Source organism: Homo sapiens, chromosome 11 (genome assembly GCF_000001405.40).
Source record: "Homo sapiens chromosome 11, GRCh38.p14 Primary Assembly".
In the NCBI taxonomy this organism is placed as follows: Eukaryota; Metazoa; Chordata; class Mammalia; order Primates; family Hominidae; genus Homo; species Homo sapiens.
This window is the reverse complement of record NC_000011.10, coordinates 34,484,277-34,500,789: the sequence shown is the minus strand read 5'-3', so window position 1 is coordinate 34,500,789 and position 16,513 is coordinate 34,484,277. Positions and strand designations below refer to the sequence as shown.

General features: G+C 46.9%; 1 protein-coding gene across 6 annotated transcripts in view, besides 1 other annotated feature; it reads left to right on the top strand.

Moving 5' to 3' along the window:
* Nucleotides 1-16,513, top strand: part of ELF5 (E74 like ETS transcription factor 5) — a 35,004-nt gene that overhangs the window by 13,005 nt on the left and 5,486 nt on the right. For 3 of the 6 annotated variants that reach the window (XM_017017309.2, NM_001422.4, NM_198381.2), the window contains exons 3-4: nucleotides 7,078-7,311; nucleotides 10,731-10,781. The exons of 1 other annotated variant lie outside the window; for it this stretch is intronic. In XM_017017309.2, the coding sequence (XP_016872798.1) occupies nucleotides 7,078-7,311; nucleotides 10,731-10,781 (285 nt within the window). The remainder of the gene's footprint in view (nucleotides 1-7,077; nucleotides 7,312-10,730; nucleotides 10,782-16,513) is intronic. 2 more of the 6 variants (XM_017017308.2, NM_001243081.2) reach the window with 2 other exon arrangements.
* Nucleotides 4,143-4,642: an enhancer, noted in NCBI's record as "H3K4me1 hESC enhancer chr11:34517695-34518194 (GRCh37/hg19 assembly coordinates)". NCBI's record gives its function as "activates a minimal SCP1, AML or CMV promoter by ChIP-STARR-seq in naive and primed H9 embryonic stem cells {active_cell/tissue: H9 hESC(naive and primed)}" and the evidence as "EXISTENCE:reporter gene assay evidence [ECO:0000049][PMID:30033119]".

The window sequence follows — 16,513 nt, the reverse complement described above, 5'->3', positions numbered from 1 at the left end:
CAGAAGCTTGAGAGCAGATACAAAGGAAAGAATCTAAGAACTTCTAAGTCAAAACCAGATCAACAAATACAAAATCATCTGAAAGTCTGAGGTGAGCCCTGTGGCAGCGCCCACACCTCAGGAGGACTCACTGTTGGCCACCTCTAGCCCAGTGGACATGCACCTGAGCCTTCTGGGTGGCCATGGCCCCAGGACTGCTCAGGGCTTGGCTCTCTTGGCCCCTTCCTAACTCCACGCTCCCAAGGCCATGGCTACTTTGCAGCCAGCCCTTCTCCTGTTTTCTCTATACAGTTTCCTATGCTGCACTGGACTTAACTTTTCCATCTCATGGTCTCTTTCCATAGGCTATGCTGGAAAGCCAGGAAGGGGTATGGGATGGAGCTGGACTGGCTCTGGGAGGAAACTTGAAAGCCATTTATCATTTCAGGTTTTCCCTCATAAAGTCCTTCCTTTCAGTGACAAAGCTGCAATTGATGGTGCCCCTGCTATCCAGTTCATTCACCACCTCTCTTCAGTGCTGCCCCGGGCAAAACACTTTCCCAACTCCCTATGCTAGTAAATCATGCTAATTATGGTCCAAGTTTGTCTAACTCGGGCCTCCTCTGACCCAGACTGTCTGTCTTGTCCCAGCCAAGCCCTGAGCTTGCTTTACTGTAGTTTTTCCTCAGCTAGATTGAGGAAGGCCCCGTTTCCCTGAGAACAAATGTATTCCCAAAATAATAACCAATAACAGGTGACTTATACTGAAAACTTACTGTCATTCAGATACTAGGCTAAGTTCTTTACCTGCATCATTTCCTCTTCACAACAAACCTCCTAAGATATAGGTACTATTGTTATTTTTATTTTACCAGTGAAGGAAACTGAGGTCCAGAGAGGTTAGGACAGTTTGTTAGAGTTGCACAGCTAATCCATTGAAGAGCCAAGATTTCAAATCAGGAAGGTCCATCTCCACAGCCCAGGCTCAGTTGCCACACCCAACCCTGTGACTTCCATTGGAAGGTCCCTTCCACTCCAACAGGCTCATTGGCTGGGAACAAGAATTGGATTCTTGTACAGAATTCCTGTAGCTGGCAGGTTCATCTAGCTTCACAAACTTTCTTACCACTGCTCCCCAATCAGCAGAGGAAAAAGATCAAGTTCTGCTCCAGAGGGACATAACTGAAAGCTCTAAGCTCAAACTTCTTTTAGAACCTGCAAATTTTGCATTCTGCTGCATATCTATTTTGTTGTAATATAAAAATCAGGCCAGGCACAGTGGCTCATGCCTGAAATCCCAACAATTTGGGAGGCTGAAGCAGGAGGATTGCCTGAGCCCAGGAGTTCAAGACCAACCAGCCTGAGCAAAATGGTGAGACCCTGTTCCTACAAAATTAAAAAATTAGCCATGCATGGTGTTGCACAACTGCGGTCCCAGCTACTCAAGAGGCTGAGGCAGGAGGATTGCTTGAGCCCAGGAGGGTGAGCCTGCGGTGAGCCATGTTCGAGCAACTGCACTCCAGCCCGGATGACAGAGTGAGACCCTGTCTCAAAAAAACCAAAAATCAAAATTTTCCCTCAAAATTTTTGCTTTGAGTGAGGCTCCAAGAAAATGAACAGTGTGGGTTCCAGGATCTTTATATAGGAAGGGCTTAGGGACAACAATCCATTTGGAAGAGATGGCCAAAGGACATGTCTGGAAATGATTTTTTTTTTTTGGAAATGGAGTTTCCGTCCTATCACCCAGGCTGGAGTGCAATGGCGCCACCTCGGCTCACTGCAACCTCCACCTCCCGGGTTCAAGCAATTCTCCTGCCTCAGCCTCTCAAGTAGCTGGGATTACAGGCGTGCACCACCACGCCCGCTAATTTTTGTATTATTAGTAGAGACAGGGTTTCACCTTGTTGGCCAGGCTGGTCTTGAACTCCTGACCTCAGGTGATACACCTGCCTCAGCCTCCCAAAGTTCTGGGATTACAGGTGTGAGCCACTGCACCCGACCTGGAAATGATTTTTTAAGAACACTGCATAAGATTGAGAAGACATCAGTTATCTATAACAAAGAAGGAAGTGGGGGATTAATGGACTCACCCTCTGATCTTTCTCTTGAAGATGCATAATGAATATTATGTGACTTTCAATTACCTGCTCTGTGCACCCTGGGGATACAGCACCACCACCATCACCCTCTCCTCTGCTCAGTTTCAGAAGCTTGAGTCTTGTGTGTGTCCTGATGATTAAGAATTTTACAAAGTCACACAGACTCGCCTGTGTCCCCAGCTTTTAAACCAAAGATGGCAGCATTAAGGGACCTAACTCAGGCTGGCAATGCAAAGACAAATTAGCTAGGTTTGGTTTCTAAGCTTGGTTTCTAATATAACTCCTATTTTTTTATGAAGAAAATAAACCGAAGGTCTAGAAAGGGACAAAGCAGCTGGCTTACACATTAAAAAAAAAAATTAGAAGTGTTTGAAGGAATGTAATTAAAGTGGTGACACGGGAAGCCCAGGAGGTAACCCTAATATTGACAAGTATAAGTGGATGATATTTAATGAGCACTTGCCATATGCCTGGCCCTGTTCTAAGTACTTTCCATGTATTAATTTACATAATCCTTTTAATAGCCCAGATAAGTAGGTCCTATTATTTTTATTTTGCAGACGAGTCCAAGGAGGCAGGACCACTAAGTGTGAGAGACCATGTGCCCTTTCAACTTTGAAGGGGAATTCAAAATATAGGAATCCTGGTTTCAAGTTTGAGAACAGTGATTTTCAAGGAGCTTCCTGGAGCTAATACCTTCACCTCCACTCCCAGTAAAACAGGGTTGCTTTTTTCCAGATAAGTTTTAACTTGAAGAAAATATTATTCAACCATAAAAGAATCCTTCAAAGTCTTAGCATGCCCACTCCAAACAATAATCTTGAAGGAGACAAGTGGCCAAAAGCCTGTCAGATTGTTCATCACAAAGTGATGGCCAGGAGTGATCCAGCCCATGAAGACATTTTGACTGGGCTTCCCGTGGTGTTTTGTAAAAACCAAGCCAGTTGCCACACTTGAAAATAGAAATCAGGAGATTTCAGTTAGCAATCTGGTCCTGGCAACACAAGGCCCACCTTTCCACAAGGCAAGGGGTCGGGTAGCCATTGTGCACTTTGGCATGAACTTTCCAATCCCCACTGTCTCCACATGGGGCCACTTCAGGCATAGACATTATCTGCTGACCCTGCGGGCATCTGGTGCACCCACCCAGCTCTGAAAGCTAAAGTCCTCCTTCTGAATTTAAATGCATCTCAGATTATAGCATCACTTGTGAAAATTCCCCTAGAATTTCTGAAAACTCCCTCTAGTTCAATTCTTCCTTCCAATGCAGCTGGCCCTGAAACAAGTGTCCTGACCCACTTCAGACTTCAAAGGAGCTGGCAGAGCCTGCTGCTTAATAATAGTGACCTATGGGCATTCAGATCAAGCCTACCAGGCCCATGATGGTCTACTGGTCGACATAGGCAGAAGGGCCTCATGGCTCAACTTTCCCAAAATGTTGAGATTATTTTATAAATGATAGAAGCGTTGAGAAAAACACTTTACATTTCCAGACAACACAACCCATTAAAAATAATATATTCTGCGGGTATATAACCCCTTATTTGATTGCCCTGAGTTCATGTCTTCCAAGTAGCAAAAGGGTCTTCTTCATGTCTTCATTAAGGTTCTAAACACTATCATCTTCAGTCTCTCCATCCTCTTTCTGATTCTTCAAAGCTAGATTGTATTTTTTATTTTTTCTAGTCAGGCTCTGCTTATCCATTATTTATAATTACAATTACACATATCTACCTTCATCCAAATCTTGCTTTAGTCAGTCTTGAGATGTGTGCCCAACTTGGTCCTCCTCAACCAAGAAGAGTGGGGCGTGGTAAGAGGGAAAATGCCACTTTTCCCTCTTCAGTAGCTCCTTTACTGACAGGCCGCGTGACCTTACAGGGGTCCCGTCAGTCCCCGGAACGGCAATCTCCTCACGTGTAAAGTGGAGAGAGTGACTGTCAGTCACCTGGTCAGTCAGTCACACTCACTGAGGTAGGCCTGTGGTGGGCTAGGCCAGGCTCCAAGCACTCCTGGTTCAGGGCGAGCAAAAGCTCTAGGTCTGGAGGGGAGGGATGAGGAGGACGCCTGATGGGCACTCAGTGAGGAGGAAGAGACCTCTGCGAGGGGGAGTGAGGATGAGCAGAGATTCCTCAGGAGAAGGCAGATGGGGACCACGTTCCATCCAAAGAGAAGTCGCTGTGGGAAGACTCTGGGCCGTGGAGCCTCCTGAAAGAGAAGAGCAGGAGAGGGGCTGGTGAGGAGGGGCTGACAGCGGCGTCCCTCGTCTGGGCAGCCTCCGCTCTGCCACTCTCCTCCCGTCCTGAGGATGGGACCCCCGGAAAAGAGGCCTGCCATGGCACCCAGAGCAGCCATTTTCCTCCCAGTTCTGGGGCTTTGGAAGGAGCTTGCGGATGAGGAGAGGGAGCCTCCGCAGGGCTCTGGCTCCCCTCCAGGGGCCGAGGCCGCACACAAAGCCGCTCTGTGGGTGAGCTTCAAAGCAGAGCGCCGAGGAGCAGGGAGCCAGCGCCAGCAACACCTCCCCGGTGTGGGGCCGACTCCCCGCCTGGGCGTTTCTCCGAATCCTTGAGGCCCCCTTGGCTTCCGCAAACAATATGGCCCTCTTCAAGTGCCAAAGAAAATAACAAGGGGGTGGAAGCAGAGAGGGGAGGGGAGGGAAACGGGAACAGAGCCTTGGCGAAACCTTTCCATGAAATCAACTGTGCCCTCCGACGGCCGCACACCGATGGCCATCTAGGGCAGGGCCCGCAGCTGAAAAATGTCAAGGCTCATAAACATCTCTCACAGGACGCCAGTAAAGTCCAAAAGGCCCCTCAGGTTTACTAAAGCCAGAAATCAGTAGATGAAAGCTCAGGCCGAACTCAGGAATGGCCCCTTGTTCTGCCAGGAACCCCTGCCTGCCCTGAAGAGCCCCCACGGGCCTGGTAAGCCAGCTCCAGCCAGTGGCCAGTGAGCAAGACCTGAGTCATCGGTCTCACCGGCTCCCTGGCTCTTCCTATCTGCCAGGTAGAGGCTACGACATCAGCCTCAAGCACCCTGGCACAATATTGACGCTTTGATCTTAATGCATATAAAATTCTGAAAATTTTTAAATAAAATAAATCAACTGCCCCTCCACCCACCCTTCGGTGGTAAAAGAGATCTCTGGAAGACCTTTGAGTTTTAAGGGGAGCCTCTATTTCCTTTTTTGTGGAATAGCCCAATTACACCTACTGGATAGGATTGTTGAGGGGACCTGAGAAACTTGAGACGACAAGAACGCGTAGCGCCTCGGCTGGCTGAGGGTGCTGAGTGAGTAGTAGCACCTGACAGGCAGAGGACCCACCTCCTGCCTGGAATCATCAGCAACTGACAATGGTGCGAGTTCTACTCACCTTTAAACGCTGCAAATCGCACCACTGCTATTTGCTGTGGGGTATAACATGTGAGGGACCCTTTCTGTCATCGTCACCTTAGCCACTCTCTGCTCTCTGCCTTTCTTTTCAGGCCCTCGTGTTGTGTTCTCTCCAGCTTTCCCCGTGCCTCAGCCACTCTTCACGTTCCATCTCTGCTCTGTGCTGACCCGGTATGGTGGTGTGGGGAGAGCAATGGCTTTCAAGTTCAGGCTAGGGTTCAAATCCAGCTCTGCCACACGCTGGCGTGGGTTCTTGGGAAAGTCCTTCATGACTTTCAAGTTCCTCTTCTGTGATCTCCTGGGGGACGGGGGACCAAACCTGTCCACCATGAATCCTTAACATACAACGTGTGGCTGCACACATAGTAGATATTCAATAATAATGTTTGTAATAGCATTTAAATCCTCCAGGCTCTGTTCCAGGTACTTTTATGTATATTAAGTCATTTAATCTGCAGAACAGCACTATGATACAGGTGCTGTAATTATTCCAATTTTACCAGTAAGGAAACTAAAGCTTTTATTTATTGAATGAAATGAATAAATGAATGAATGTTTTCCATGGCAGATACAATAATTGTTTATGTCAAAGAGCCTGACCAAGTACCTAATACAGCACCTCTTCCATACCTTATGTCCACCCCACTTTCCATTTCTCCTAAGAACAGAAGGACAGAACTGTTGAACACCAAATCTCTACCCCTGGGCCAGGCAAAGCCACATGCCAGCCTCCCAGACAGATGGCACTCACAACTGTCTAGGCATGTACACGACTCCTCTAAAGGAGTGGGGGCTCTGATCTCAGGATAGAAATTACTCTGAACACCACCAAAAACACAAGAACAACAATACAACCAACTCTCCCATGACCACCTTCCTCTGGAGGTGCCTACTATGGTGACGCAAGGACTGTCAGACTCTGGGCAATGTCTAATAACCCAAGGTTCTTGGCACAAGATTGCCAGTAACTGTGCAGAAACAAATAGCCAGCATTGGGCAGCTGCCCTTTAAAGCATAGGGAATCAAAACCAGCTTCAAATGGTTTCTGACACACGGTAGGCATTTAGTAACTATTGAATTGGTTGGTAAGTTTCTGTGTGCCATTCTACATACATTAACCCCAAACTCCATAATAGTCCTGGGCATTGAGCATATTATCCCCATTTTACAGATGAGGAAACTGAGACTTCAATGTCCACAGACCTTGCCAAGCGGAAAGTGGTAGAATCAGAATTTCAACCCAGCTTGTCAAACAGCTGAGTTTGTGCTTTTGATATCATGTTATCTGGAATCAAATAACTGAAGGGCTGTTTTCTTTCTTTCTCCACTAAATGCCTTTTTTTTTGAGCATCAGCACCAAGACTGGTTCTTTCTTGCCCCTGTCATTCCCTCTATGATGCCAAAGTTCATCTGTAGGATCCAGTCCCTCTGGTTTTCTCTGCAGAATAGAAGGTGACCTGGGCTCTGCAGAACACCCAGGGCTGGAGGCCCTTTCAACTTATTGGCTGAGGAATGAGGATGTTACTTAACTGATGCATCCTTCAGGGGCCCTCTCGAAGGCTGTCTTGGGACTGTTGTCCCTCACTTCTTTCTCCTTTGGTGCAGCCTGTGACTCATACTGGACATCAGTCCACCCTGAATACTGGACTAAGCGCCATGTGTGGGAGTGGCTCCAGTTCTGCTGCGACCAGTACAAGTTGGACACCAATTGCATCTCCTTCTGCAACTTCAACATCAGTGGCCTGCAGCTGTGCAGCATGACACAGGAGGAGTTCGTCGAGGCAGCTGGCCTCTGCGGCGAGTACCTGTACTTCATCCTCCAGAACATCCGCACACAAGGTCAGTGTTCAGAGGGCCAGACCTCCAGGGGAGGGACCAGGATTAGGACCAAACAACTTTGAGAAGTCCTTTCCCATCGTGTGAATTGCACAGCAAAATTTTACTAACTGGAGTTCTCGTTAATCCAAACCTTCAATAACTGGAAGCTAGTATGCCAGAATTGGGGATTTTAGGGAAAAGGGAGCGAGTTACAAAAATGCAAATTGAGTGCATTTAAAAAAAGAGAAAGAAAAACGGACACCACGTTCAGGGACTGCCCAGGCACCAGGCTGATAATAATACAGTATATTCATAATGATTTGAAACCACACAGGATGGACAAAAAAGAGGTTTGTGCTTCATCTCTCATTAAGCAGAAGAGGAATAAAATTAAATAGACTACCTTCCCTTTTCTACAGGAGTCCAACTAATTATCATTTCATCACATTCCTAATGGTCAAGGATCAAGTGGCCAGAAGGTGGCGCCAATAGCATTATTTAACTCTTCAACAGGCCTTTTGCATGCAGAATGTCGATGAACATTTTTTCAATCCAGAAAGGTTCTTTGAGAACATCGAGCTCTAATGTCTCAAAGTCACACATAGATAAAGGAACTGATATCCTGAGACATTAAGTGACTTCCTCAAGGTCACACAGCAAACAGGGCTGATTCACAGAAAGTCAGTACAAAGCAAGGGCTTGGAGATCCGAAAGACCTGTGTTCCAACCCTGGCTCCAATACTCCGAGCTACGGAACCTCTGGCGAGTGGCTTAAGCTGTCTGAATCCCCACTGCCTCATCTGTCCAATGGGATAATGACACCTCCATGGGCTTTTTGAGAGGATTCAGGGAAATATTACCTAGAACAGCATATGAAGATGGAAATGCAGTAAATGGCAGCTGTTTTTCCATCATCATTAATATAATCAAGAGGCATATTATAGGATGTTAAAGGAAGCCTATCTCAGCTCAGTTTTAAGAAGGATCTTTTTAAAGGTTAGTACCTTCTTTTGAAAAGGTAATTCAGAAGATACAGGAGATAGGACGATCCCCACCACTGGAGATAATCAAGTAGTCTAATAGCCCCCTGCTTGAAGAGGAGGATATGACAGCGCCTCTTGTTTGCACAGAAAAACCACAGAGGACCCTCCTGCTCTGTGATTCTTTGGCCTCCTCTTGATCCTCATCCATCATGAGCGCTTGAAGGCAGAAAAGCTAAGAATGGTGGCCCTTGGGCACTACATGGCTGGGGCCCTGGGAGCCAAAACTCCAGTGACAATGACCTGCCAAGAGCTGGGATCTGTGTCCTGTGCTCAGAGTGGGCACTCCCTGAAAGAGGACAAGTTTGACCAAGTCACAACGGCTCCAGAAGAAGGAGCTTGGGACTCCATTTAGGATCCTCCCAAGGGAACAGGCTCGCACAAAAATCCTAGGGCCACAGAGAGGGGTGTATTTTATTCTGGAAAAAGATGCAGTTTGGCAATGCCAGCTTGGCCAAATGTCAAGTCAACCTCATTTGTCTCCATGCTCTTGTGCAGCCCCTGTGCTGGCATCTCCCACCACAAGCACCTCTCTTCCCTGGCAATGGTTGCATCAAAAAACAAACAAACAAAAAAAACCTGTTGGCCAGGCACAGTTGCTCAGGCCTGTAATCCCAATACTTTGGGAGGCTGAGGCAGGCAGATCATCTAAGGTCAGGAATTCGAGACAAGCCTGGCCAACATGGTGAAACCCCGTCTCTACTAAAAATACAAAATTAGACAGGCATGGTGGTGCGTGCCTATAATCCCAGTTACTCAGGAGGCTGAGGCATGAGAATCACTTGAACCCAGGAGGTGGAGGTTGCAAGTGAGCCGAGATTGCACCATTGCACTCCAGCCTGGGCAAAAAGAGCAAAATCCTGAAAAAAAAAAAAAAAACAAACCTGTCCCTGGTTTTATTACCCCAGGGCCCTGTGCAAAACTAATAGGCTAAACCTAAAAAAGCCAACTGCTTTTTAATAGGTCATACATTACCTCTTCTTATTGTAAGGAATTCCTGCAATCACAATGCCACCTTTAATGGTGGGATTTCAAGCACTCTCTAGGCCAGGAGTGTTCCATATTGAGCAGTAAAACTATCTACTCCACCAATCTACTCCATTCTGAAATTCCTCTTTTAATGTTTCTCAATCAGATATGTGGATTGTAGATTGTGGAGATATATATATTGTGATCAAAGTTCACACTGTCTCCCATTTGCCCAGGAGACATCGTTTCTGCCTGTGATCCTAGAGTAATTATTATTACCATAGCACTACCTTTCATCCTCAAAAGTGTCTCCATTTAGATCATAAATTCTACAGTTGACTGGGGGTTATTACCTCATGTATGCCTTATACTACCCCATAGGTTTTGACTCTGGCAGAACAGGACACAGAATAAGGCAGTTTTATGGAGGAGAGGAGCTGGAAGGGGGTTGTAAGGCCTCAGCACCATCCAGCTCGGTAGGTATTGCAGTAGGATTTAAGGGCCTAGCAACCTGGGGACACTGGTTGCTGGGAAGCAAGGTCAGAGGTTGGCTTCCACAGCCTAGGAGGGGAATGAGCCCCTCTTCAATCTCCCATCCTGTTCTCAGTCGGCCCTTTGGACAGAGTCAACTGAGGCGCGTGGCTGACCAAAACCAATGAGAACATGACGCCAAGAATAAAAAATCACAACTGTGCCCTGCTCCAGTCTGCTTAGCAAGTAGAGATTAGTCCTCGTGTTGGACCAAGCTAGGACATAGGTATCCTTCAGCCTAAACTGCTATGTGAAAACACAATCTCAAACTCCTCATTCAACCCCAGCCCACCCCATTCTACAGAGGAGAGAACCAAGGTCCTGACATCATCTTCCATATCCTCATTAAACTCAGCATTCACATAGAGCTTTGCACTTCTTGCAACCTCCTATGCCCATTCTCCCCACTGACCAGCACATAACAGGCATTCCAATCCCCAAGGGATTAGAGGCCATGTCAGAGACTATAGACTCTTAGCCACAGGGGAGCTTAGTGGGTATTTTATCTCGTGATGTCAATGAGAAAAACCAACAAGCCCAGAGACTGAGTGAGCAAGGCTGCACAGGGATCAGTAGCCCGGCCCAGCTCAGAGCCCAGCCCTGGACCCCAGACCAGAGCTTACTCCCCAGTGCCTGCTCAGAAAATCTGCAGAGGCTGCTGGGAAGCCTGGTTCTGGGTGCTCCCTCCAAATGACCTTTAATAATGAGGAAATTATCACCTCTCAGGGATGGCTTCAGGGTGACACTCTAAGACCAGATGGTCTCCAAGGTTCCCTCTAAATTGTAACCAACCTCAAGAGGGACAGTCACTCCACTTCCCTCCAACACCCCCTCTCCTGGCCTGGCCAGTGGAAACCAGGATTGCATGGTATGGTTTCTGGATTTCTTTTTCTTTCCCAGGTTACTCCTTTTTTAATGACGCTGAAGAAAGCAAGGCCACCATCAAAGACTGTAAGTAACCAAGCGCAAGCCACCCAAGGCTCTGTCAAGGTTGTCATTGGTACATGGGCTTGACCATTCTTTTAGGATCATACTGAAAAGCTGATGAACCAAAACAATCCCAGACCTGGAGAAAGCAGTGGGGAAAAGCGTGGTGGAAAGAGTGTGACAGAAAGAGCGTGGGTGTGGGTCTGTAGGACCATAGCTTGGGTCTATGGATTGCTTATCGTCTGAGACTCCATTCCCCTATCTGTAAAATAGTGTGACCCTTGTGGGTCGTGGTAAGTTTGAGAAATGATGCACACAAAGAGCCCAGCATGCGCCACCAGTGTAGATGCTCCCAAACCAGTATCCATTTGTCATACATTAATAATACTATTAGAAGCCTTGTGGTTCATAATGCTTAAGAAGACTCTGAGCTCACTAAGCAGGTAGAGTTTATAATTATAAGACGATGGAGGATCTCAAATAGCCTTGTTGATGCTGATGATTAACCTTCCCTGTTTCACTTGGGCAGATGAAGAAGGCTCGGGAAAGGGATCTTTGGTGCTTTCATTTTTCAAAGATGACAATGATGATTACTATTAGTTACTGAGTCCCTGGCCCAGAGGCCAGGAGGAAATGTGGTCCTGGGCAAACCCCATTCCCCCATGGGCTTCAGCTCAGTCATCTGCAGAGAGGGAGCAGAGCGCATGGTGATTTCCAAGGCCTCTGAGGGCTGCAAGCTGGAGGGGCAGACACAGAGGGACTGTTCTTATGGGTTATGATTTTTTCCTCCTTACAGTCCCAAACAATCAACTGAGGACTCACGTTACTTGGATCCTAGTTAACAAAAGTTTTTGGAATTTCGTTTTTCGTTTTGTTTTTGGTGCTTTAGCACAGGAATGGCCAGTTCGTGGACCACACGCTACGGGCTTAAGCAGGTGCACCCTGCTCTGCAGACCGCAGCTGCCCTCACACGAGCAGCTCTGCATTCTGCCAGGTTTCATCACTCGGGGCCCCGGGGTGTAGCATCTCACCCACCTGTGAACAAAGCTCACACACTGTTTCCTGGTGCTGGTAGAATCCCTTGTGATCCATCTGCAGCAGCCTGGGGGATGTAAATCCCAGCTTTTACCACCACACCTAACCCAGTCAAAGCCCCTGGAAGAAATGAGCCTGTGAAGCCTGGGAGACATTACTGTGGCCAAAGGCTTGAGCCACAGGCAGGCATTTGCTTTACTCTCTAAGTAGTAGTGACCTAGACCTGACCAACCCTTTCTCCAGGGGTCAGTGTCTTCACCTACAAATAGGAATCACTTACCAGCCTGCCTTCCACACGACAAAAGGAAGCTAATACAATGGAAAGAGAAGGTGTGTCCAGTAAGTTCTTTTGAAGTAGGTGTAACCTGAATATATAACTAGCCACAGTTAGATTCAATGTGCTGATGATTATGATGATGAGGATAAGGATGAGGATGACAGCTAGCATTTATTGAGTGCTTCCTATGAACCAGGCCCTGTGCTAATATCTTTATAGACATTGTGTCAGGTAATCTTCCCAATATGAGACAAGCCCTAGTGCTATAGCCTTTTTATAGGGGTAGAAACTGAAGCTTAGAGGTTAAAGGTGACATGCTTAGAAGGCAACAGATGACCCAGGTGTGTCTAAATCTAAAGCCCTTCATGCCTTTGCTCCCCTTACCCATTTATTTCTCTCCTGTTTCCTTCATTCTTTGAACAAACATTTATTGGACACTTACTATATGCCAGGCCCAGAGCTAGGCACTGTAGCTGTGGTGATGAGCACTATTTGAGTCTTGCTCTCATTGAGGCAAGGTCGGGGTAGAGATATTAAATAACCCAAATGATAAATACATAACTGCTCATCACGATGATATTATAAAGGGAAAGATCAGCATGTTTTGTGTGTAATGGGGAAAGATTGCATTTAAACTGGGTCCAGGGACAGCTATTTGGAGGAAGAGATAGTTGAATTAAAGCATGAGAAGAAGTTACCCAGGAAAAGAGAGAGAAGAAAAGGTTCCAAGCAGCGAATGGCCAGTGCGGAGGTCACGAGGTGGAACAATCTTGGTGTCTTAGAGAAAGAACCAAAGAAGGCCAGTGAGTCTAGCATTAGCTTGGCCAGTACAGTAGCCACTAGCCACACGGGGCCAGTTTAATTACTTAAGTTATATTAAAATTCAACTCCTCAGTTGCATAGCCAAATTTCAAGTGCTCAATAGCCACAGGTGGCTGCCATCTTGAACCGCTCAGATTCTACTGAGCGGTTCAATTCTGTGATAGTGGAGGCGTAATAACTTGTATAACACTCACGGCATCAGTAGTCTCAGCAGCATCAGCAGAAGGAGGGGTGGGAGCTGAGGCCGAGAGCAGGATAGGGCCAGATCACTCACCACTTTGTGGGCAGCAGAGTTAGGATTTCATTCTGAGCAAGCTGGGAAGCCACTGAAAGGTCATAAGCACGAAAGTGATCAGATCACATTTACATTTTAACATCTCTTGGGCTGCTATTGTCTGGGTCAGAAAGCAGTCTAGCCAGGATGCTCCTGCCCAGAGGAGTGATGATGATGGTGGCCTGGACCCAGCGATGGGGAAGAGATGGGGAGAAGTTTCTAGAAATAGAAGTGGTGGGGCAAGGGCTCTGGGCTAGCATCTCTGGAGCATGAACTCATGGAGACAAGCCCTCTGCTGATGGTTGGTGCCATGGGCTCTTCCCTGTCTGCTCCATTTGGGAGCCTAGAACTAGACTGAACTCAGGGTTAAGAAGTTTAAGTCCACCTGAGAGCCAGCCCCAGAGGCTTTGCCTTATTCCAGCCTCAATGCCCTGGCCAGGACACCATGGCCTTCCCCCGAGACCCCTGAGGACCATCTCTGGCTCTCCCCCAACCCTGATGATCATGCTTTCCCCAAACAGAAACCCTAATGGATAGTTTGATGGGCACAAGGGGAGGTATGAAGACGACAGGTTGGTAGTTTATACAATGAGCCCATTCCAGAAAGTCCAGGACACGTGATCATGGTGCCTATGGCTCAGGTGATGTTTCCTGATCTCAGATATTCCCTGACCCAAAAATGAGAGGCTGCCTTTCAGTGCTGATGTCCCATCCAAAGACCAAGACCTGGCCAATAAGGAAAGTGGCATCCTGGGGCTTTCAGCAATGTTCCCATTGGGTCTTCAACGAAAATGAATATAGCTGTCTTTACCATTTATTAAGCACTTACTATGTACTAAGCATAACACTGTGCCAAGTGTTCTGCTTACATTATCACATTTAATCCTTGTTCTAGCTCCATTAGGGAGTGTTATTATCTCCATTTGCATCTGAGGAAACTGGAGGTGTAATAACTTGCAAGTAAGTGCAGGGGTGAGATTCCAACACATTTCCTCAAAGCCTGTGCTTTTTACATTGTGTGCTATGCACACTCACACATGCACACACACACACACATATTCACATAGGCACACATGTTCCCATGCCCTTCTATTCACTCTGCTGCCCACTAAGTTGAGATCCAAGGCCTGGAAACTCCTCAAGTTCTGGGCCCAGCTTGACAATAATTCAAACAACAGGATGATTTTCAACTTAGTGCCCACTGAAGGTGCCCAGACACACAAGCTACAAAACTGTCAGAGCTGGCCAAAGTGAAACAACCCATTCCCTTTCTGCTTGGTCTCTTCTCTCCACCTGTCCCACTCCCCACCCACCTCCACTGCAGAAATGCCAGTAGAGGGTGTTCTGGGCCCAGGAACCAAGCCTACAGTCCTGGGTTCACTGCCAGGCACCTCCCTGCTCCTGAGCCTCAGAGCTTCTCTGCACCAGCCTGGCATGGGGTGTGGGCTCCATGGCTGGACTGCTAGTGTCATGGGGATACGATAAACTTGTTTCGGAAACCCTGCAACTCAGGCCCCCACCCCAGCTTCTGGAGTGCTTGCAATAAACAATTGAGGATACATCCTTTGGCCACATTTTAAAAGTGTCCAGGCTCAAGGCCAACCAAGCCTCTCCAAATCCCACAGACTGCAGAGAGCCTGGGCCATGTCTCCCCTCATCCCCCACCAGCTGCAGGGACATAGTCAAGATGACAAAAGTTGTGAGCAAGGGAGAGCTGCACCCTGAAACACAACTGGCATTTACAGAGAAATATAGTGGGTTCACGGTGGTGCTACAGATCCACCACCCAGCGCTGGTGGAGGTTGATTTGGGAACCTGCCTCAGTATTAACATTGCAGTAATGACTTTGGCCCCCTGCCCCTGCCACCACCAGCCAAGCAAGGCCTTGACTAGTCAACCAATGAGTACCTTCAAAGCCATCACTGCAGAACTAGGAACAGACAGAACAGGGTTATCTCGGCAAGACCCACGGAAGAAATTCCCATCAGCCTCATAAACCCCTCTCATGCTGATCTGTACTGTGTTCCTCCTACCAAGCCAGATCCCCTTCATCCAAAACATGGGAGAAATCATTAAAATCAAAAGGACAATGTTTTTCCTCCCACTTCTTGCCATTTTGGCATTTCAGTGAACGCTTGTTGTCTATTCACACTTAATAATTCACCTTTGTTTATGACTCCATTTGTTTTCTCTTCTCCTAAAAGATTAAATCAAAACAACAGATCGATCTGGGGGTAGTAATAGACATATCTCATAAGGGTGGGGAAGGTTGAGTGAGCATCTGACAATAGCAAATGCTCAACAAATCTTAGCTAATAATGGTTCATTAAATGTCTATTGAACACCTGCTGTGAAAGACATGATAAAGTAGTAGTTATGAACATTAGCTTTGCAATGAGAACTCTCTGGTTCCACCATCTGGAAAAGATTCTTAAGCTCTCTGGACTTCCAATCCCTCCTCAATAAAATGAAAATCATAATAGTATCACCCAGGGTTGTTATAAGTTTGAAATGAGATACTCTATGTGAAGCCCTTACCAAGCACTTGGCATTTAGTAAGTGCTCCGTAAATATCAGCTGATAGTGGAGGAGAAAAAGAGATGGATCTTTCCAGTAAGGTAGGCCCAGTGTTGTGATACCAAGGAACTCACAGGTGCTCTCTATGGGGCTCATAAGGGGTCTAACCCAGAGGGTCAGTTCAGAGAAGGCTTCCTGAAGAGGTCTTGTGAGAGGTCCGCTGGGTAGAAGTGGAGAGTGGGGAGTCTGTGCAAAGGTCCTGAGGCAGAAGAAAGCCTTGCCTCAATGGAACCATTTGACCTAAGGGAAGGGAAAAAGTTGGGAAGCAGAAAGAGATAAGACTGGAGATCTGGATGGGGGTCAGTCTGTGAAAGGCCTATCTAATGTGCAGCCTTCATCCTGGAAGAAATGGGGAACCACTGCAGGATGTTCAGCTGGCGAGGTGACATGACCCAGTGGCACTGAGAGAGGTCACCCTAAGCAGCAGTGTGGGGCACAGGATGTCATTCCTGCCCTTCCTTCATTCAGCAGTGACAGTGTACATACTAGACGATGCAGCAGGGATAGTTGTACAGTATAATATAGTATAGTATAGTATAGTATAGTATAGTATAGTATAGTATAGTTAGTATAGTGTAGCACAGTACAGTATAGTTAGTATACTACAGTACAGTGCAGTATAGTTAGTATAGTATAGTGCAGTATAGTTAGTATAGTATAGTACAGTAGAGTATAGTTAGTGCAGTCTAGTTCATATAGTACAGTATGTACAGTAGAATACAATATATGGTACAGTATAGTTAGTATAGTATAGTACAGTTATTACAGTAT